This window comes from Homo sapiens, chromosome 4 (assembly GCF_000001405.40).
Source record: "Homo sapiens chromosome 4, GRCh38.p14 Primary Assembly".
Taxonomy (NCBI): Eukaryota; Metazoa; Chordata; class Mammalia; order Primates; family Hominidae; genus Homo; species Homo sapiens.
In genome coordinates this window covers 140,365,421-140,386,774 of record NC_000004.12, presented here as the reverse complement: position 1 = coordinate 140,386,774, position 21,354 = coordinate 140,365,421, and the positions used below count along the sequence as shown (strand labels likewise).

General features: G+C 37.4%; 1 protein-coding gene, 1 long non-coding RNA gene and 1 pseudogene across 11 annotated transcripts in view, besides 4 other annotated features; 2 read left to right on the top strand and 1 right to left on the bottom strand.

Annotated features, from left to right (window-relative positions):
- Positions 1–1,046: 1,046 nt before the first annotated feature.
- SCOC (short coiled-coil protein) overlaps positions 1,047–21,354 on the bottom strand; it is a 128,421-nt gene continuing 108,113 nt past the window's right edge. For 2 of the 10 annotated variants that reach the window (NM_001153446.1, NM_001153585.1), the window contains 3 exons: positions 7,583–7,654; positions 7,123–7,206; positions 4,219–5,813 (listed from right to left, as the gene is read on the bottom strand). In NM_001153446.1, the coding sequence (NP_001146918.1) occupies positions 5,671–5,813; positions 7,123–7,206; positions 7,583–7,654 (299 nt within the window). In that variant the 3' untranslated portion in view covers positions 4,219–5,670. Of the gene's footprint in view, positions 5,814–7,122; positions 7,207–7,582; positions 7,655–13,057; positions 13,266–21,032; positions 21,093–21,354 lie in introns of those variants that run through there. The other 8 variants (XM_047416067.1, NM_001153484.2, NM_001153663.1 and 5 more) reach the window with 8 other exon arrangements.
- Positions 12,840–13,039: a silencer, noted in NCBI's record as "silent region_15709". NCBI's record gives its function as "represses an Ori minimal core promoter by ATAC-STARR-seq in GM12878 lymphoblastoid cells {active_cell/tissue: GM12878}" and the evidence as "EXISTENCE:reporter gene assay evidence [ECO:0000049][PMID:35858748]".
- Positions 12,840–13,446: a biological region, named in NCBI's record as "OCT4 hESC enhancer GRCh37_chr4:141294483-141294984".
- Positions 12,945–13,446: an enhancer, noted in NCBI's record as "OCT4 hESC enhancer chr4:141294483-141294984 (GRCh37/hg19 assembly coordinates)". NCBI's record gives its function as "activates a minimal SCP1, AML or CMV promoter by ChIP-STARR-seq in naive H9 embryonic stem cells {active_cell/tissue: H9 hESC(naive)}" and the evidence as "EXISTENCE:reporter gene assay evidence [ECO:0000049][PMID:30033119]".
- Positions 13,200–13,249: an enhancer, noted in NCBI's record as "active region_21934". NCBI's record gives its function as "activates an Ori minimal core promoter by ATAC-STARR-seq in GM12878 lymphoblastoid cells {active_cell/tissue: GM12878}" and the evidence as "EXISTENCE:reporter gene assay evidence [ECO:0000049][PMID:35858748]".
- SCOC-AS1 (SCOC antisense RNA 1) overlaps positions 13,383–21,354 on the top strand; it is an 89,667-nt gene continuing 81,695 nt past the window's right edge. Inside the window, exons 1-2 of the long non-coding RNA NR_033939.1 lie at positions 13,383–13,512; positions 17,425–17,465. This is a non-coding gene — a long non-coding RNA (SCOC antisense RNA 1). The remainder of the gene's footprint in view (positions 13,513–17,424; positions 17,466–21,354) is intronic.
- RPL14P3 (ribosomal protein L14 pseudogene 3) lies at positions 19,893–20,573 on the top strand (annotated as a pseudogene).

The following is a 21,354-nucleotide window of genomic DNA, read 5'->3' as shown; positions in this document are numbered from 1 at the left end:
AACTAAATATTTTATATGTGATTTATTAAAACATAAAAGAATATCTGCATAAATTTCAACAATTTCTTCCCCCCCAAAAGTATATAACTCCCATGTATTTCATAGTATGAAAGCTGAGTTTGGGAAATAAAATTATCCCTAATCTGAAAGGTCAGATATGGGGCAAGTTGATGGGAGAGAGAATGCATGGAAAAGCAGAGTAGTTTTAGAGAAGATGGGCAACATGATAACTGGAAAAATGGGCTTTTACCACCTAACATAGTTATCACATATTTTGTGTTTGTTAAATGAATACTTTTTCGGTAAAATTTGGGGATATTTCCAAGTTTTAATAGCACTTGATAAGCCATCTATAAAGTATACATTTTAAAACAAGATAAATACATTGTAAAATTGATTACAATGAATGTACAACTTCAGCTTCTGTTTTCTCTCAACCCACCCTTTCATAGGTCCAAAGGCCAATGGCCAACATAAAGTCCCTGTTATATTAAATGTGCCTTTTTTGTTTGGTTTGGTTTTTGTTTTTTGAGGAGACACAGTCTCACTCTGTTGCTCAGGCTAGAGTGCAGTGGCACCATGCAGCTTTGAACCCTGGGCTCAAACAGTCTTCCCACCTCAGTCTCCCGAGTAGCTGGGACTACAGGCAAGTACCACCATGCCTGGCTAATTAAAAAATCTTTTTTTGTAGAGACATGGTCTCACTATGTTGTTCAGGCTGGTTTCAAGATCCTAGCTCAAGGAATCCTCTTGCTTTGGTGTCCCAAAGAGCTGGGAATACAGGTGTGAGCCACCACACCTAGCCTTGTAAATTGGTCTTTTAAATACCATTAATCTCTGATTTCAGTGAAATAAACTACAGCTAGTTTTCTGATAAGAGTAAGAGGGAATTAAGTTTCTTCCAATTCTTAACCTTTCATGTCTTCACATTATCTGTTCTTTCATGATTTACAAATGGTCTTAACAACTAATCTCTGGTGTCCACTGGCAATAATTTTGGATGCATGCACATTGAAGAAGAATCTGATGACAATCACCACAAAGTGTTCAGGGAATAACAAAATTTTTATTGGGCAAAGTAAAGAATGGCTTTACATTCTAAAGATCTATTTTGCTTTTCTTTGGACCACAAAATTAATTTTAGATTTTATAATTCAACTACCATATTTCTCTTACAAAAGGGACTAGATCACAGGGAAGGGTGACAGGAATAGAGATGTGACATTAACTAGTTGGAACTAAATGCATACATGATTTTGGTTACTCTTCTACAAAAGGTTTTGTTGCTACAATTCCATGACCAAAAATCTCTGAAAAGTTAAAGATTTTCCTAGCATTTTGGCAACAAAACTCACCTGGTAGCTGAGCCTGACTTCCCCGGCAAGGTTTTATGTACATATGTAGTCTTTCTTTATCCTACTTTAATACTCATTTTGCTACAGAAATGTTAATATACTTGATTATAGGTGTTGCCCCAAACCATATTGGTGTCTGAGTCATAATATTTTATAAAATCTGGAAAACTCCAAATTCTAAGACATCTGGCCCTACAAGTTTCAGACGAGGATCTGTGATGTGTAGTAACCTGCTGTGAGTCCAAAGGGACTATAAAGAGGACACATTTTGCATAGAATGGCAGTGTCAATACTGGGGAAATTTGTATTGGGAAACAGTGGGGAAAATGGGTGCCTTAAACTATTTGGGATGCTATAACAAAATATAGACTGGGTGGCTTATAAACAAATTTATTTCTCAGTTTTGGAAGCTGGAAGTCTGAGAGATCAGTGTTGAGGGCCCTCTTCCAAGATGCAGACTGCTGTCTTCTATGTGGCAGAAAGAGAGCTCTCTGGGGTTTCTTTTAATGACACAATCCCATTCATGAGGGTTTCACCCTCATTACCTAATTATCTCCCAAAAGCCCCACCTCCTAAAAGCATCACATTGGGGTTAGGATTTCAACCTAAGAATTTTGGGAGGACACATTCAGTCCATAACAAGGAGTATGCTGATTTTTCCCTACCAAACATTATTCTACCAGCATGTAAACTAGGAAGTATTAAAGGAAAAACCATTCTGACACTTGTTAAAGCAGTAAAGAAGACTTTACTCAGGACTGTATATGTTAAGACCATCACCCAATAAGGGAAAGAAACTGGGCTCAACTAACACAGCAAATACAACTGAGGATTTATAGTCAATGAGCAGTGATGAGGTCAGTGGATGGAAAACTACTAACTGGAGACATCAAGAGTAGGGTGATTCTTGCCAAAGACAGGCCAGGTTGACGATCATCAGTTATTGAGGATGGGATTATCTCTAAACTCATTTAGCAGGATTTTTGCTAAAACTGGACTAGTCAAAAACAGGGCTCAGAGGTGCCTGTCTAAAATTTGGTCGAGTCTTTTCCAGAAGCTGGACACAGTCCCTGTGCACACTGTGTACCACCTATATTTCTAATGAAGAAATTATCCTGAAGTATTGCATAGCAAAAACTAAGTATATAGCATTAGCTTACCATTAACATGACAAGCAGTGGGGATATATTTTGACACCTACTAATCTGATAGCTCTAGCTGGAAAAAGCCAGAATGTTAAGTGAATTGGCTATTCCTTGCTTTCAGCAAGGTATCAAAAAAATTGACATTTTCAAGCAAAGATAGAAGGGAATAGACAAAGTTTTGATACAAGGAACCTCATGAAATTAAGCCAATTGTTTCTGAAGTCTGAATAGCAGCAAAGGTTCAAAATTATTTTTGAGGTGGGGGAGATTGGGGGGAAGCCCATGAAGACTTCTCTACCAATCGTTAAGCCAAAGGAACCCAGCTTTGCAGTGATGATCTGCATGTAACATTCCCAGTGTAATCTTATTTTTAGTTGATCTCAAGATAGCCTCCATTAAAGAAAGGCAAAAATAATACATACTTTGAGAATTTGGTCAAAAGCTTGGTTGTGGTTCCTCGGCATATGCAATCAGAAGCACACTGATAAAAAGGCTTGAGTTTTTGAGAGAATCGTATTCCACAGAAACATGAGCTTGGCCTTAAAATGATGGGCACCAAATTCACACCAGCAGGAAGTGGACTGTCTTCACAATTCCCATGGAGTGAACACCCAATCTCTACTTCTGAGGTAGCCATGGAAGAAAATGGATAAGGAGTAACTTTCCAGAGGGGAAACCATGGAGTTCAATGAACAAGGGAGTCCCCTGCCAGAGATCAGAATCATAGTTGAATCAAGGAACTTCTCCACTGCTAGGGACAAAATCTTCATACATCTCCCAGGAGCATTCCACAATTTTTACGTTTCCCTTTATTCCATTTTCCAAATTGAGACTTTTTATTTGGCCATCCTGTCCCAACTACATTATAAATGGGCAGCAGCAAGGGTGAGAGCAAATAATTTGCCTATCAGTTTAGAGATTGTCAGACTATTAGAAGCCACATGTAAAGGGATGGACCTTTAATAGAGATCCTAGATTGTGAGCTGAATCACTAGCTGGATGAAGAGGGATTACTTTCTGTGTAAGGGAAGATACTTGGTAGCACAAGAAGAGCTGTGGCTGAGGCTGCTAGCAGCCACCAAAATCTTGTATTTATAGCTGGAAGATGGCTTCCCAGCCAGGGACTACATTTCTCAGCTCCTCTTGTATCTAGATGTAACTAAGTCTCCACACCACTGGAATATGAGAAGATATATGAGCCATTTCCAGGCACAGCCCATAACACCTTGCATATGTACACTTCCATGTTCTTTTTCTGCAAATTAGAAGAATAACTAGAGTGACTTGAAAGCCATGATTTAAAATGGCAGCACCATCCTCAGCCAAAGTCCCTGAATAACTGTTTGAACAAGGGCTGCTAGCCTGCAATGCTGACCTTGGAACCACTGGTTGGGAGAGAAACTTCTATATTTATATTCTTTATCACTGGGTCTCTTGCTAAAGTAGCTTAGCCTACCCTAAAAAATACAACTTCCTTTTTCCCTGGAGATACTGGATCCTTTGAGTGCTTTGCTTTTGTTTTCCAAATTAATGTATAATAGCCTATGATATTTATATTGATAACCAGTTATAGTTGTATTAATAAAAATATTATTCCCCTAAATAATCAGTAACTGGGTACTTAAATAAGATACACTATTCTGTGGCATTGAATAACCCTGGATACACCACTATACCTAAATACCCCATTTACTTAGGCAACTATATCAAAACACACACAACCTCTGAAATAGCTTTTTATTAAACGGCAAAGCAGAACTGCAACACAATTTAAATGTCTGTAAATTAGGTCACAAAAGGGATGCAAAATGTTTGCAGTTTGACTATTATATATTCACACAGCTAAAGTCATTCATCAACTCTTACACCAATACATAAGATTATTCCATGATTAAAAGCCCAAATCTAATAACCTTAAGCTACATTAGTGGATCTCTTTTCATATTATAAGATTTTAGCAATACTTCCAATATTGATTTCCTTACCAAATGGAATCTAGAAGCTAAATTTTTAAAAATTGTTAAAGGATGACTAAAACTCTTCAAACCCAGTAGCAGGGTTTACAGAAAATTCTAGAACAAGTGAGATAAAATACTGAGCAAGATAATAAGTATACATGTATAACTTTCCCATTTTATTCACTATTCTAATACTAATACACCATTACGGAATTTTGCAGAAGTTGACCCACTGGGTACAAATCAACTTAGAGACCAAACTCTTTGTAACTGTTCTCATCCAGATGTGGCTAACATAAGGGTAGTCAAACTTAATCCACTTTCATATATATTTCCCAAAAGATCTACTCTGTGCCAGAGAAAACACAAATCTGGAGTGAAAATATTTGGTTACTACTGTTTACCGAGTACTTTTCCACCCTATTTCCATTTTTCCTCAAAATTTTCTATTTTAACATACACATGACCAGAAATTATATATTTTCAGATAATACAAAATGAGTTATTTTGGGCAAAAAGAAGTTTTTAACAACAAATATTCCCAAGTTAATTCAGTTTCAAAGAAAAACCTTCATTTTTAGCCTCCATCTATTTCCAATTAATTAAAGAGACACTAGCATTCCTATCTTAACACTAAATACACAAATGACAAGCCCTAGCTGAGACAGTATCTTATTTTGGTTAAGTTTCAACAATTAAAATACAGGTTACTCTCAGAGATGATTAACTATTAAAATTACTTTTACAAATGTGACACCAATTTTTTTCCTTAGCGGAAGGGAAATAGGAAGGAAGAGGCAAATGGAGAAGAGGCACAAGATGGTGGACAGGGTACATAAAGCTGTGCATTTAGTACATGATTTTGGTCACTTTTTCACAACACGGTGGTTATTTTCTTGTATATCTTACTAATCCTATAATAAAAGACAGTGCTAAACCTACAAATTCAATAAAACATTCATCTTTAAGTTTCATAAATATATGCAATTCTAATCATAAAGTCTCTACAATACATTTGCACGTTTTCATAGACTAACATAATACACAAACTTATGGAAGTCTCCTGTTATTGTGTTATTTTTGTCTACATCTGACATTATCTTCATAAATATTCAATGAAGCCACAAAGGTACTGTAACTTTTGGAATCTATCCAAGTTTTAAAGAAAAAATGATCAGCAGCAATTCCATAAAACAGAAGGGTGTCAATCCCTTACTTTCTTTTGCTTTTTGTGTCAGTTGTTTGAAAAACACTAGAAGCTGACATGAGATTTTCTATATATTGTCCAAGAACTTGGTTTTCTGATTTTAGCTTCAGATTTTCTTCCTTAACTGCATCTACTCTTGCAGAGAGATCTATATAAAAAATAAAAATGCCCATTATCAATAAAACAATGACAATGATTCCATATTACAAAATTCTTAGGATTCATTCTTAAAAGAAATAATACAATCCTTAAATTTTAAGAATTCGGATTTTAGAGACAGCAAGGTAAACAAACTGAGTACAAATTAGTAGACAAATTCCTAAAAAGATATTTCACATTAGACTAAATGCTATTCTTCATAAATAGCATTAATGTTGAGTAATTTTTTAAAAAGACTTTGTTTTTAAAATGTGAATTTTGGTTCATGTCTTATCAACATAAAACTATAACATCTTTACTAGAAATGTTTAAGATATATATCAGGTTAACACAACTGAATTCATATACTGAATACAGGCAGTCAGTTTCCAAGCAACTTATCATCTTGTATTGTAACATTATCAAGACATTGAACACATGCAGTTCCTGATGATCACATAAGAGGTTAATTCCGGCTGGGCACGGTGGCTCGCACCTGTAATCCCAGCACTTTGGGAGGCCGAGGCGGGTGGATCATGAGGTCAGGAGTTTGAGACCAGCCTGGCCAACATAGTGAAACCCTATCTCTACTAAAAATACAAAAAAATTAGCTAGGCATGGTAGCAGGTGCCTGTAATCCCAGCTACTCGGGAGGCTGAGACAGGAGAATCGCTTGAACCTGGGAGGCAGAGGTTGCAGGGAGCCGAGGTTGCGCCATTGCACTCCAACCTGGGCAACAAGAGTGAACTCCATCTCAAAAAAAAAAAAAAAAAAAAAGAAAAAGAAAAAGAAAGCTAATAGGGAAGTCACAGATGACTTTTATTAACTCTGTAAAATGTAAATCAGTGGGAGGTTCTGAGTGACATGATCTGCTCACTGTGGCACCAAAAACACAACCTCTTAATTTCATTAAAACTCAAAAGATGTTTCAGTGTATTAATTTTATGCAAGATTTAGAAAATGAAAAAATTCAGATGAATTCCTTTTTAATCTCCAAGGCTAATACATTGTTTTTACTTTAAAATAAGCTTTATTAAAGCGGACTTAGTAACACATTATGGGGACTTAAAAGGGGGTCTCATACTAGCCAGCATTATGTTAGGCTTCAAAGAGGGAAGCACAATAACAACATTTGACTTGACTGAAGTGTATCTGTTCTTTAAACTACCAAAGCAGGAAGATAGATATATATATGTGTGTACTTTGAAGTTCATTCTTTTAAAAATTATACATCCTAACAAACAAAATTTAGCAATATAAATTTTTACAAGTTCAATTAATTGGCTGTCATTCAAATAAACTACAAAATGCAAGCCAACCTTCAAGTGTGTGTTGGAGTTCCAACACTTGATTAATAAGTCTTGTTTTTTCCTCCAGTTCCACTTGATTTTCAGCATCAACTGCTGTAATATAAAGGTTCAAATTTACTATTAATTAGCATTAGGTACATTTGTGTAGGGTAGCACTTAAAAATCTGCAAAATGTTTTATATTCATTCTTACTTGACTTATACAAGAGCCCTGTGAAATAAAATTTTGTATCCCCAAATTGCAGATAATACCACCAAGGTAAAGAAGATAAAAACAACTTGCCAACCTCTCATAGCTAAGGAATGGAAGCTGCTTTGGTTGGTCCTTTCTAACACTAGATGAGATATAAATAAGTAATTAGCCAAGATCAAAGTCTTCTAAACATGGTTTCTCTGCCCTTTCCATTGCTTAATAAAGCAAAAGCATCCACAAAACCAGGAGTATACAAAAAAGAAAATGAAGAACATACCATCCATGTCAGCATTCATCATCTTGGGTAACAAACTTTTGGGCCTTGGATACAAAATTCTTGAGGAATGGTCTACAATAAGAAAAATTCAGAAATATAGACACATACAGCAATAAACTATAAGCCTGTTTTTCAAAGGAGGATGATTTTGTTAACTATGACATAGTAGGACTTTTCATATGCTTTACTAAGAATAAAATAAATGCCTAATGGGTAAATAAGCAAAGGATATAAATAGTTTGAGAAAATGTTGAGCTTCTTGATAATCAAAAAATACATAAATACCACCGTACAGTTATTATTTTTAAAGGAGATAATGATCAATACTAGCAAAGAGTTATGGAAAAACAAATACACAAACACTGGACACAAATTTTAAATATGTAATCTTTTTGGAAAGCAGTATGATAATAAGATTCATAAAAACATTTACATCTTTTTTAACTGAGTATTTTACCTTGGAAATTTAGGCTAAGGACAATAATGCAAAGAAAGTTATATACATAAAAATCACTTCAATTTTATTTACAATGAAGTCAATCAGAAACAACATAACTGCCCACTCAAAGTCTGGTAAATTACAGTTGTGATTTTCTTTTTAAGAAGACATATTTTTATTTATTTATTTAGAAATGAGGGTCTTGCCAAGTTGCCCAGTCTGTATTAAACTCCTGGACCCAAGCAATCCTCTTTCCTCAGCCTCCTGAGTACAGTTATAATTTCTAATGGAGTGGCTACTGAAAATAATTATGACTATACTACATGAAAAAATGTGTATAAAATTGTATATTCACTGATGTAAATTATGTGAAATATATATAAATATGCATAAAAAACATGAAAATGAAAAAATGCTCTGATATTAAGGATGACGGTATGGATGAAGATAAAATTGTTTCAAATATTCTTCTTCATTAAAGTATTGCTTTACATATACTGTTTAATTTTTTACAAATAAAATTCAAAAGATAAATACTAGACCATCTAAAATATTAATATGGAATAAATGAAAAAATGTCCATTCATCAGCTCCTAGTCAGGGTTAAATCAAAACAGACTAATCAGGATGTAAATAAGTAAATAAATACTAACATTTTATTATTACAATGAAGACTTCTAAATATTAGAACAAAAAATTTCTATAAAACATGTTCTGCTCCATTGCTAACAATCATTTCATTCAATATGTTCAAAATATATTAAATAATGTCACCAGATTATTACTGAAAACAGATTTGTTAACCAATCTAATCTACTACATTGAAGCAACCTAGACCTGTCAGTGTTATTCTTTCAACAAGTATTTACTGAATATCTTCTATGCCCAAGGCATTGTTATGCCTCCGTATCTTAAACAGTAGAAAGCAGACCTATTAAATAAGGATATCTACATACTAGAACTAGAATCACAATAGAGATATCAGTGTATTACACATTCTCTCACAGCTGTTAATACAAATCTTGTTGTACTTCAGATACTAACATGAAATTTGAAAATGCCCAGTGTACATCTACATAAATCCTGTTACACTTTAGATACTAACATGAACTTCAAATTAAAATGCCCAGTGTACATATACATAAACTTCAAGTTTATAGTTCAAGTTAGATAGCACTCACTAGTCTAGAAAAAAATATGAAATATCCCTTGTATAACATTATTAAATAATTAACTACAAATGGTATACAATTAATTTAATAATGCTGAATAAACCTACTCCAAGTCTTCTAGCATCTGTCCCCTTATCTAAACCGCATTTAAAGTTGCTCTGCCCGACCTCTTTTTCACATTATTTAATTCTCAGGTTCTCTGCATTTCAGATTACTAAAATTTTTCCAACAATTCTTTTTTTAAAAGTTATTCAGCCTACTGTAGTATTTAAAGACCACACTCCAAAAACTATTCCTCTCCATTGAATCAACATGTCTCTTTAACTATAATTGAAGAGGAAGAGTGTCAGTGAAAACTTGATTTGACATTTCCCTGACAGAGAAGCACACCTGTAACCAGGTACTACAGTCATTCTCTTTTCATACCATTTCAACCACTGATCCAGCTAAAAGAGGTCTGAGTAAGATGAGAGAGGCAACAGCCAAAAGCAAAAGTGATCGTGGGAGTGCTCAGCAAGAGTAAGCTGCAATTTGGCATCTGTCTTTGCTAAATAATAAATTAAAAGTGCTTCAAATTTCTCATATCCAATGATTTTAAGGCTACAGCTAGAACGAATTTTCATGATAGCTAAGAAGAGTTATAAGATATACAAGCCAAAGCAACAGATAATCAGAAAATCGACACAGCTGATTTTGAAGTCAGATATAATACAGTGATAGGGTAGTCTTCTTTTGCTTATGTTTCAGACTAATATTTAAATTAAACCAAAAAGTCTGCAAAAACACAAGTATTCCAAACTCACCAATATAAGAGGTAAAGAAAAAGAAGCCAGTTTCTGAAATTCTGACCACATATAATTCAAACAATAGAAAACCTATGCATGGTTTAGCAACAGTGTGACTTCATCTGAAAAAGTGAAAGAAAATAAAAAGCAGAAAAACAGGGTGGAGAGGGCTTATTAAAGGAAAAATTACTCTTACACTCAAGATTAGGGTAGAGGCAGGAGCACAAAAGTAGTGCCACAAGAACAGTGCTATAAGGGTATACAACGCGAGAGAGCACAATTCACACCACAGTCTACGTAAGATTGCATCCCAAGTGTTGCACAGTGAAAAAACCGCCCACTGTATCTGGCAGCCCTACGCATAAGGGCATTACTCTTTAGTACAGTGGACCACAGCATTACCTGCTGCCTTTCCACGACAAAAGAACAAGAAGCAATTGTATTTTATTGTGATGTGATCAAATAGACCCATCTCAAAATGCTACTATTGTATTAATATATATTCAAAGTCTTTCAGTAGATTTAGGGCAATAAACTGATTTGTTTGACATATGGGATCAAAAGACTTGCTGAGTTCTTTATGTCAAAGTATTTTAGCCATGGATTTTTTCTTTTAAAATAGTATTGATCCCCAAACTGCCCAAAGTCTACATTAACACAGTACTACATCATAACAGATACTTAATACTGAGCTTTTCAAATTTTTCAACTATAAAATCCTTTTTTACCTATAGTTGCTATAACATCAATCTAATTCCATGTCAAATATGCTCTTAAGAGTTCACTTTCAACTCCTTCTGCTCCTATATATAAACGCAAATCTGATGAAAAACGAGAAAATTAAGACCAAGTCTGCTCAAGCGTGGGAACACTGAAATGAATTTGGGGCGCTGAGGCTGCTCTGCCTATCCTAAACCACCTTACCCCAGAAATGGACATGGTTCGCTGAGATTCTTCAGCTCTGATGTATGGCTAGGTCAGACCTTTCAAAGGTTTCTCAAAAAACACAGTAAATTCGGGTATCTAGCCTTGGTTAGTGGAAGGGAATCTAGAATTACTTTTTTGATTATTTAAGTCCAGGAGGCAGAACGCATAGAGAGAATACAAACCAGGAAATGTGGCAAACATTGGGACAAGATTCATTTAATTAAATAATTTTTGCCATGCACACACACCTGTGACCAAAGACGATCATCTTACCAAATATGCCCCTATCTTATTTTACAGTTATCTCTAATAGTGTACAATATCCACAATATCACTCTCCTCAAGAGGCAGCCTGGCACAATGATTAACAATATGGATTCAGATTACCTGGATTCAAATCCTAGCTCTGCAATTTATAAGCTCTGGAACCCTGGGCAAGGTTAACACCTCGGCCTTAAGTTTCCTCATTTGTAAAATGTGGATAATAACCGTACGTATCTCATGGGTTTGTTGTGAGAATGAGTGGATAGATACAATGTGTTGGCAACAGTACCTAGTACATAGTAGGTATTCAATAAATGTCTGCTATCGTCTTCTCTACCTTTTAGCTCTAATTTGGGCAACAGAAAGAATTTAAAGAAAACCATCTGGTCCAGCTGCTTCATTTTACAAAATCAAGGCCAAAGATGACAATGGCTTACTGAAGACCACAGAAGTAGTTAGCAACAGGGCCAAGACTACAACAAATGCCCAGTGTTTTTTCCACCATTCCACCACAACTATTGTCACATCTGAGCCTGCAGATTTTGAGACTTTTTCCTAATACCCGTCCATCTTCAGCCACTCAACTTTTCTGCATCTAAAATTGATTTCACCATCTGTCATACTGGAGAACTACTAAGACTGCTAAAATAATGTCTTCGTGCATTAATGTGCTAAATGCTTTGCATATGTTATTTCATCAAATCAACAGAAGGAAACTGCAATTTACAGATATGGACACTAAATTTCAGAAAGTCTATATATCTTTCAGAAAAGCTGTTTCAGAGGTTTCACAGCCAATGTCTCTACCAAGAATTTGAACCCAGGTCTAACTTCACAGTCCATGCTTTTTCCATTATGCAATGGAAAAAACTTTAATATGGCCCTAATCTTAAGTTTGCCAAACATTTTGCTACCACTGATGTCAAACTCCTCTGGAATCTTTACTAAGCAACTGAAAATAAACTCCATTCCCTTCAAGCTACGGAACTTCAATATAATGTCTGTTCAGATCTGTTCAAGTTCTGCTTTGACTTGTCCTGGTTAAATAAATCCAGTTTCAAATTCCACAAGATCAAGGAACTGTTTGGCCAAATGAGGATTTAAATGGAAGCTATACTCTCAGAGAATGGCTAGCTACACTGATTTTAATCAGGAATAGAGGTACCAGAATACATGGGCACAGCTTTGGGTCCTCGGGCATAGAAAACGTGTTGGCAACCTGGAATGGCATCTGTCCTTATTGTTGCGTAATAGTGTGAGGTTGACACACTGTATAACAGAAGCCCTGCCTTTCAGGAATGTATCCTCTTTCTCCTTTCCAAACCTTTCTTCCCAAAACTTGTTCAGCAGGACTCTGGGGGAGAAGACGATCAGGAAACAAACCCAGGTGCCGCTTTCGCCGCCTGGAAAAATGGTCCAATCCTTATTTTACGGCTCTCTAGGCTCCCTCCCCACCTCAGCCTCCCCTCCCATCTCTCAGGCTCTCGCAGAGCAGCCACGGGAAGGTCCAGGCGTGCCAGGTCCCATTCCACCCAAACGCCCCTCCCGCAGTCCAATTCCAGAGCCGAGAGCTGCAAAGCGGCTCCCGACCCAGGAGCTGCGGGGAGAAAGCTACACGATGTCTGCGTCAGGGACCGCGAGAGGTCCCTCTCCCAAAGAACGCCTGGGCCTGACAACGAAAACAGGAGAAAAAGAGGTCGCGCAAGGGTTCTGCCGGGAGCCAGGCCTCCGCCGCCCACCAAATGCCCAGGCCCGAGACCGCTCCTCCCGGGCCCCCGGTGCGCAGGGCCGCGTCCAGCCCGCCCCGCCCTCCAGGCCCTCGGAGGTACTGAGGATGCAGCTCTAGTCGCCTGGGGCCAGGCCCTCCGCTGCCCGGGACGGCCCTCACCTTCCGCTTGAGGCGCCGGGAGAAGGAGGGATCCGGCCGACACCTCAGGCCGGGACACTTGGACCAACTGACCCCGGCAGCTCCGCCCACTCCGCCCACAGAACGTGCGCCGTGAGAAGAATCCCATCCCGTCCCAGCCGCTCGCCCGCCAATCCTGACTCGAGAATACACGCCTGCGCATTAGCTGCCCGCCTCACCCCAGTCGTCCAATCTCAAAGCACCGGGATCCACCTTTGCCATAACAAAAGGACACTGACATCCAATCAGGATTGAGGTCGCTGTGGGCGGGACCTGGAACAGCGACAGCCAATGACAGTAAAGAAGCGAAGCTAAGCGGCGCTGGTGAAGCGGCTCATCAGGTCTATCAGGAAACCTGAGAATTGGAGTGAGAATCCCAGTGTGGAAAATCAGGAAAGAGGCTGGTATGAGCGACAGAGAAGTCATTCAGGAAAGAGGTTGGTATGAGCGACAGAGAAGTCATTCAAGTTCGAGAAAAGAGCGTTTGCGAACCAAGCAGAGAAAGTCAACGCGACACCGTCGTTCCTTAATTCTAAAAGCAGACTTTTTCATATTTTTCTTATTTCCGAAATCGGAAAGCTTATAGTTGAGCTAGTGGAATGTTCCTCTCCTCACGCCCCTCCTCCGAAACTATTATTAAATCTGTAGTGCGTGGCCATTTAATATTTTAGAATTGAGAAAATACCCTAGTGGTACTGAGGCATAGCACTTGTGCTTACCTTACCCCTGTGGAGCCTCACAGCAACCCACAGAAAGGAACTGAAGCCTGAGCGTGAACACATTTCTTGCTCAAGGTCACATATACGGTATCAAGAGTGGAGTGTTCTTCGTGACACCGTTCATCGTAATCTAGTACTTGACACAAAGCGGCATCCTGCTTTAATATTCGTTGAGTACAAGGTAGACATCCACAGCAATACATTATTATTTTGGCTTTGGCACAGCCTCCTAAGCTGTAGAGACAAGCCTTATGTCTCCCTGTTTCTTGACTTTTTACTTCTGGCACAGTTTGCTGACACATCGCCTTAATCATTTTAAGAGCTATATAAAAATATCTTCTATTCAGTGTTTTGAGAACTATGCATTTGGCTGCGACTGCAATATTCAGTTTGAGGAAATTTACTAGAATGCAATGTAGGAGCTAAATAAATGAAAAAAAATCCAACATAAATCTAATAGGAGTGCCAAAAAAGAGAGACTAGAGAGAATGGATGCAGGCAGTATTCAAAGAGTAATAACTAAGAATTTTCCAAGATTGTGGAATATTTGAATTTTCAGATTCAAGAAGTACTTATTCTTGAGCAGGATTAATATAAGAATTCTATGCAACGGTGAAATTGCAGGACACCAAAGATCAAGAGAAACTATTAAAAGCAACCTTTTGTTTTTGCTAGAACAGTATTTTTAAATATTTTTAATTGTAGTGAAATATACATAGAATAAAATTTACCATCTTAACCATTTTTAACTTCAGTAGTATAAGATACATTCCACATTGTTCTCCAACCAATCTCCAGAACCAATCTCTCTTTTCATCTTGCCAAACTAAAACTGTATACCTATTAAAGAGCAACTCTCCATTTCCTATTCCCCTCATCCTCTGGCAGTAATCATCTTACTTTGTGTTTATCAGTTTGACTACTCTAGGTACCTCACCTAAGTGGAATAATACAGAATTTGCCCTTTTATGACTGGCTTATTTCATTTAGCATAATGCCTCAGAGTTCATCCATGTTATAGCATATTGCAGAACTTCCTTTTTAAGGCTGAATAGTTCTATATATCATTTATTATGTGTATTATGCCACATTTTGTTTATTCATCTATCAGTGGACGCTTAGGTTGCTTCCTCCTTTTGGCTATTGTGAATAATACTGCTATGGACATGGGTGTGCAAATGTCTCTTTGAGACCCTCTTTTCAGTTCTTTTGGATATACACCCAGAAGTGTGTGTTAATTTGTGCTGAATCATATGGTAATTCTATTTTAAAGCAACTTTTAAAAAAGTGGTATTGACACAAGAATAGACAAAAAGAAAATTAGGAAAAAAAGGGTACCTGGAAGTTGGTATACAATAAAGATGTCTGGTGAGGAATAACTGTTTCTAAGGTTGTGGGGAAAAAACTATTATTCATTACTGTTGGGAGTGTAAATTAGTATAGTAACTGTTCGTGGGATATAGAAAACACAAGTTATGGTGGTTCTAGTTAAATTGGCTATTTATATAAAAATAAGAAATTCAATCCTGATACCACGACAGAAATAAAACTAAATTCCAAATGAAATAATGATCCAAAATGTGACAAACAAAACTCTAAACTTTTAGAAGAAAAGCGTATGTCTGTATATCGCCGTAGGGAAGAAACAGCACGATTCATTAAGGAAAGATGTAAAATATTGATTATTTTAAAATTTGGAAGTTTTACAAACAGAAGAGAAGCCATCTCTAATCAAGTTAAAAAACAAGCCACAGGTTGGCAGAATATAGTAAAACTCTCAAAATATAAAGAATTCAGGCCAGGCGCGGTGGCTCACGGCTGTAATCCCAGCACTTTGGGAGGTCGAGGCGGGTGGATCACGAGGTCAGGAGATTGAGACCATCCTGGCTAACACGGTGAAACCCCGTCTCTACTAAAAATACAAAAAATTAGCTGGGCGTGGTGGCGGGCGCCTGTAGTCCCAGCTACTCGGGAGGCTGAGGCAGGAGAGTGGCATGAACCCAGGAGGCAGAGCTTGCAGTGACATGGTGCCACTGCACTCCAGCCTGGGCGACAGGGTGAGACTCCGTCTCAAAAAAAAAAAAAAGAATTCAGACAAATCAGTAAGAAAAAGACAACTCAAGATAAATATATGCAAATAACGTAAGTAGGCCACTTACAGAAGAGGAAAACTGAACGGCCAGAAAGGTTTTTAAAAAATGTTTACCTTCACTAATAATTAGGTAAAATAACATTAAAACAATTAGATAAAGGGGCATATTCATCAAGAAGACACAAAATCCTAACCACAGTGCTACAAAATAGAAATGAATCAAAAATTAATTGAATTCAAACAGTTCATTACTCCCTGCTCTGCAATTTGTAAAACAACTATACAGATAATTTAAGTATACAGAACTCAGGTCCCAAACTTTTCAGTATATTAGAATCACCTGGGAATCTTTTAATTATTCTAGTGAACAGACCACACCTCAGAATAAATTACAGTCTTAAGGAGTGAGATACAGGCATTAGTATTTTTGAAAGTTACGAAGGTGATTTTGAAAAAAGGCTGGCAAATTTCTGAACTATTGATATAGAAGACCTGAACAATCCTATCAGCCAACTTGACCTAATGGACATTTGTAGAACATTGCACCCAATAACTGAAGAACATGCTTTCTTTTCCAATGCACTTGGAAAATTCATCAAAATAGACTCCACTGTGTATCATCAAACAAATCTCAGCAAATTTAAAATAATTGAAACAGTAAAAATTATTGTCTCTACCCACAAATTAAACTAGAAATCAGTAACAGAAAGATATTTGTAAATCTCCAAATAGTTGGAAATCAAACTATGTACTTCTAAACAAACCATGGGTCACAGGGGAAGTCACACACAAAAAAATTAGAAAGTAATTTTAAACTAAAATGTAAACATAAAAAGGCAGCTCTTGCATGACTCAGCTTTCAGCTTATTTTCAGCTTTCAGACTTGGGAGGCTGAAGCAGGAGAACTGCTTGAACCCAGGAGGTGGAGGTTGTAGTGAGCTGAGATGGCGCCATTGCACTCCAACCTGGACAACAAGAGCGAAACTCCATCTAAAAAAAAAAAAAAAAAAAAAAAAAAAAAAAAAAAAAAATCCCCCTTCTGAATAAGGAAAGGCTATAAGTACAAATAGAAACCACTGAGATTGCATAGAAATATTTGATTATAAGGTGAACATTCATGCGACCTGGACTATGTGAATATTGATAATATAGTTCATCTAAATAAAGGCACAAAATTACATTTTTTTTCCTAGAGAATGGGGGAAGTCCTAATTGAAAACTGTACAAGGCAATATATTATGTGGGGGAAGAAATGATAAATAATGAAATAGAGAACTTCCAATATCTTTTTGATGTTCCAGTCTGGCACACTCTCATTGTGCACATACAAGCTGCTATTTTGTCTTAATTAGAGGGTTCTAAACGTACTGTGGATATTTAAGGTGAAATATGCTAAATGGAAGCATTTTTGATAACTTTCAAGTATAACCAGGTGTGTTGTCTGATGCTTTAAGCTCATTAATTTGCAGAACATGTTCCATCTCATTCCTAAATAAGAACTCACATTTTCTTTTTTACTCATTTTTTTCACTTGAAAGGTTATTGAATTCATTGGAGAATGAATGCTGTTCTGAATTTGGTGAGTAAAGAATATAACCTATTTGTTAAAACTTGATTTCAAAACTAGACGTAATTGTATACTACAGCCTAGTATACTATACTCAACAGTATACCATATAGCTATTTGGTAAATTAAGGTGTTCATGTATACTTTCTCAAGATTATAATTTCTGATAATAACCAAAAGTAAATAAATTTGATGAGTCATTTTCATTTATTTGTTCAATAGGTAGAGGGAATGTAAGAAATTACCAATGTACTTTTAGAGTTTTTTCAAGCAAGAATTCCAAAGGATTTCAAGGTCTTTATGGAATCAAGCTTTGGACTTTATCATAAAAATGGAAATAATTAGGAATGATTCTGTGCAGTCTCGGTGCTGTGAAAGGAGAATAAAAACGTGAGACTCCAGTTCACTCTGCCAGAAGGAAAAAAATAAGCTGAAAGCTGAGTCATGCAAGAAGCTGCCTTTTCTTCTGTTCCTAAGCAGATAGCTACAGATAAAAGGTTAAATATCTCCATAGGTAGCTACTCTATGTTCACCCTATTTCATGTAAAGTGCTGATTTGCTGCACACAAGATGAATGCATCATTCACCATTCCCCTACCTGCGCCTTTTCTCCTGCAACTTAGATTACTATACCCTCGCTCTTACCTCTCCAACCCACTTTTCCCCTTTAAATACTGAAGCTCTCAAAGTCATCCTTGGATAAAGGAACAGACCAGAGACTGTTTCTGTGATTCTGTGTTCTTTTCTTCCAGGTATGTCCTTAACCTTGGCAAAATCAACTTCTAAATTGAATGAGACCTGTCTGAGATACTTTTTGGTTTACAGTCCTTATTTTTCTCTAGATAGTATTTTCAAATTAGCATTTCCCCCAGAATTGGTATTTATACCTCTGGTTGTACAAGATGAATTTTTAAAAATAATTACATGTTTATTTTATTATAATAAATACGAATAATACAAGAAATTCTCAATTCACAGATGTTAACATGTTGCTTAGAATAAAGCTAAGTTCAAAACTGATTTTAATTAAATGGTTAATTTAATGTGGCAAAAATTATGATGTAGGTATATGATTGGTTCAGAAAACTCTGATCTACCAACAACGTGACAAGCATTGGTTTGAAGAAGAAGAAACCTGGGTTCTTGTTCTGGCTCAGCCTAGATTGAATTCATTCCATTCTTTGCTCATTTAAAAGTTTAGTTTTGTGACTATATCGTGAGCTAGATACTGTACAGCATTCAAATATTTGAAATTAACCATGAGACTGCAGGGAGTTAGTCACTTTCCTGTCCACCCCTGTTTCCTCAAGTGAGGGCTTGGAAGAGAGTTCATTTAGCTTCTTAACATGGTGTAAAATAACATTAAGAACTTTATCAAACAACACTACCAGTGAGTTAAGTGAATGGTTCCCTATATTTAAGAGTCAATCTTTGCTGGTAAGATTGTGTCTGACCATCCAGCTTTTGGCACCCTGCCTGCCACAGGTTCTCAAAGCATATTTTCTGAGTGAGTTGTCATTGAGCCACCTCATTCCAGCTTTTGTGATTTTGTGATTCTGTGATTCTCTAAACACGAATCTACATTTTCAATCATGTCAGCTGGGTACTTGCTCACTAAAATTTTATAAAAATAATCTGGCTTTAGACTGGGCACAGTGGCTCACATCTGTAATCCCAGAACTTTGGGAGGCTGAGGCAGGTGGATCATGAGGTCAGGAGATCAAGACCATTCTGGCCAACATGGTGAAACCCCGTCTCTACTAAAAATACAAAAATTAGCCAGGCATGGCAGCACACACCTGTAGTCCCAGCTACTCGGGAGGCTGAGGCAGGAGAACTGCCTGAACCTGGGAGGCAGAGGCTGCAGTTAGCTAAGATCACGCCACTGCACTCCAGCCTGGGCAACACAGCAAGACTCCATCTCAAAAAAAAAATAATCTGGCTTTAAAATCAAGATTAATCATATGTGTCTGGGTCACTAAAGGAGATTCTGTTTTTAACAAGCATAAAGTAATTCTCTGAAGAGCATAGAAGTCAGGGTTACAGTGATAACTAATATTTTTATTTATTTATTTATTTATTTATGAGAAATGGTCTTACTCTGTCACCCAGGCTGGTGTGTAGGGTCTTGCTCTGTTGCCCAGGCTGGAGTGCAGTGGTGCGATTTTGGCTGACTGCAACCTGCACCTCCCAGGTTCAAGTGATTCTCCTCCTCAGCCTCCCGAGCAACTGGAATTACAGGTGCCTGCCATGACACCCGGCTAATTTTTGTATTTTTAGTAGAGATGAGGTTTCACTATGTTGGTCAAGCTAGTCTCAAACTCCTGACCTCAAGCGATCCACCCACCTGGGCCTCCCAAAGTGCTGGGATTACATGCGTGAGCCACCACGCCTGGTCAATAACTAATATTTTATAAAAGAATGCACCTGGCCTTCTTCCTTCTTGCCAAACGCCACCAACATGGTGTTCAGGCGCTTCGTGGAGGTTGGCCGTGTGGGCTACATCCCCTCTGGACCTCGTGCCAGAAAATTGGTTGCAACTGTAGATGTTATTGATCAAAACAGGGCTTTGGTTGATGGACCTTGCACTCAAGTGAGGAGACAGACCATGCCTTTCAAGTGCATGCAGCTCACTGATTTCAACCTCAAGTTTCCACACAGAGCCCACCAGAAGTATGTCAGACAAGCCTGGCAGAAGGCAAACATCAATACAAAATGGGCAGCCACACGATGGGCCAAGAAGATTGAAGCCAGAGAAAGGAAAGCCAAGATGACAGATTTTGATCATTTTAAAGTTATGAAGGCAATGAGGAACAGAATAATCAAGAATGAAGTTAAGAAGCTTCAAAAGGCAGCTCTCCAAAAGCTTCTCCCAAAAAAGCACCTGCTGCGAAGCGTGCTACTGCTGCTGCAGCTGCTGCTAAAGTTCTAGCAAAAAGATGACCGCTGCAGGCAAGAAGGCTCCAGCTTAGAAGCTTCCTGCCCAGAAAGCCACAGGCCAGAAGGCAGCGCCTCCTCCAAAAGCTCAGAAGGGTCAAAAAGCTCCAGCCCAGAAAGCACCTGCTCCAAAAGCGTTTGGCAAGAAAGAGGTGATTAGAAAAGTAATAAAAGTTCTATTTGGGAAAAAAAAAAAAAAAAGAAAGAAAGAAAAGGAGGCACCCAAGATTGCAAGCAAGGCTCTAAAATGCTAGGCTGCTCATGGATTTTTAAAATTGCATTATACAAACATGATCTTTACAGTTTTCTGTTTCCCTGGTAACCATTTATGATAAAAATAATCAACTTGTTAGAGTTCCTCTGTCAGCTTTTGTCAGGATCTGGGATGTTACCCTACAGTTGACCCTTGAATAATGTGGGGCTTAGGAGGTGCCAATACCCTGTGTAATGGAAAATCCATGTATAACTTTTGACTCCCCCAAAGTATAATTGCTAATAACCTATGTTGACTGGAAGCACTACCAATAACATAAACAGTCAATTAACACATATTTTGTATATATGTTGTATTCTTACAATAAAGTAAGCTAGAGAAAAGAAAATGTTATTAAGAAAGTAAGAAGGAAGAGAAAATATATTTACATTACGTGGAAGTGGGTCATCATGAAAGTCTTCATCTTCTTCATTTTCACATTGAACAAGCTGAGGAGAAGGAGGAAGAGAAGGGGTTGGTCTTCCTGTCCCAGAGGCAACAGAGGCAGAAGAGATGGAGGAGAAAAAGGGAGGAAGGAGAGTCAGACACTCAGTGAAACTTTATGAAAATACATTGTAATTTCTGTCTGACTTTTTGCTCCTTTTCATTTCTCTTAGAATGTTTCTATATGGTAACACCTTTCTTCCACTGCTTTGGTTTCAGTGCCTTTATCAAAGAAGTTTCAGTGCCTGTATCATAGAAGCCATGCCA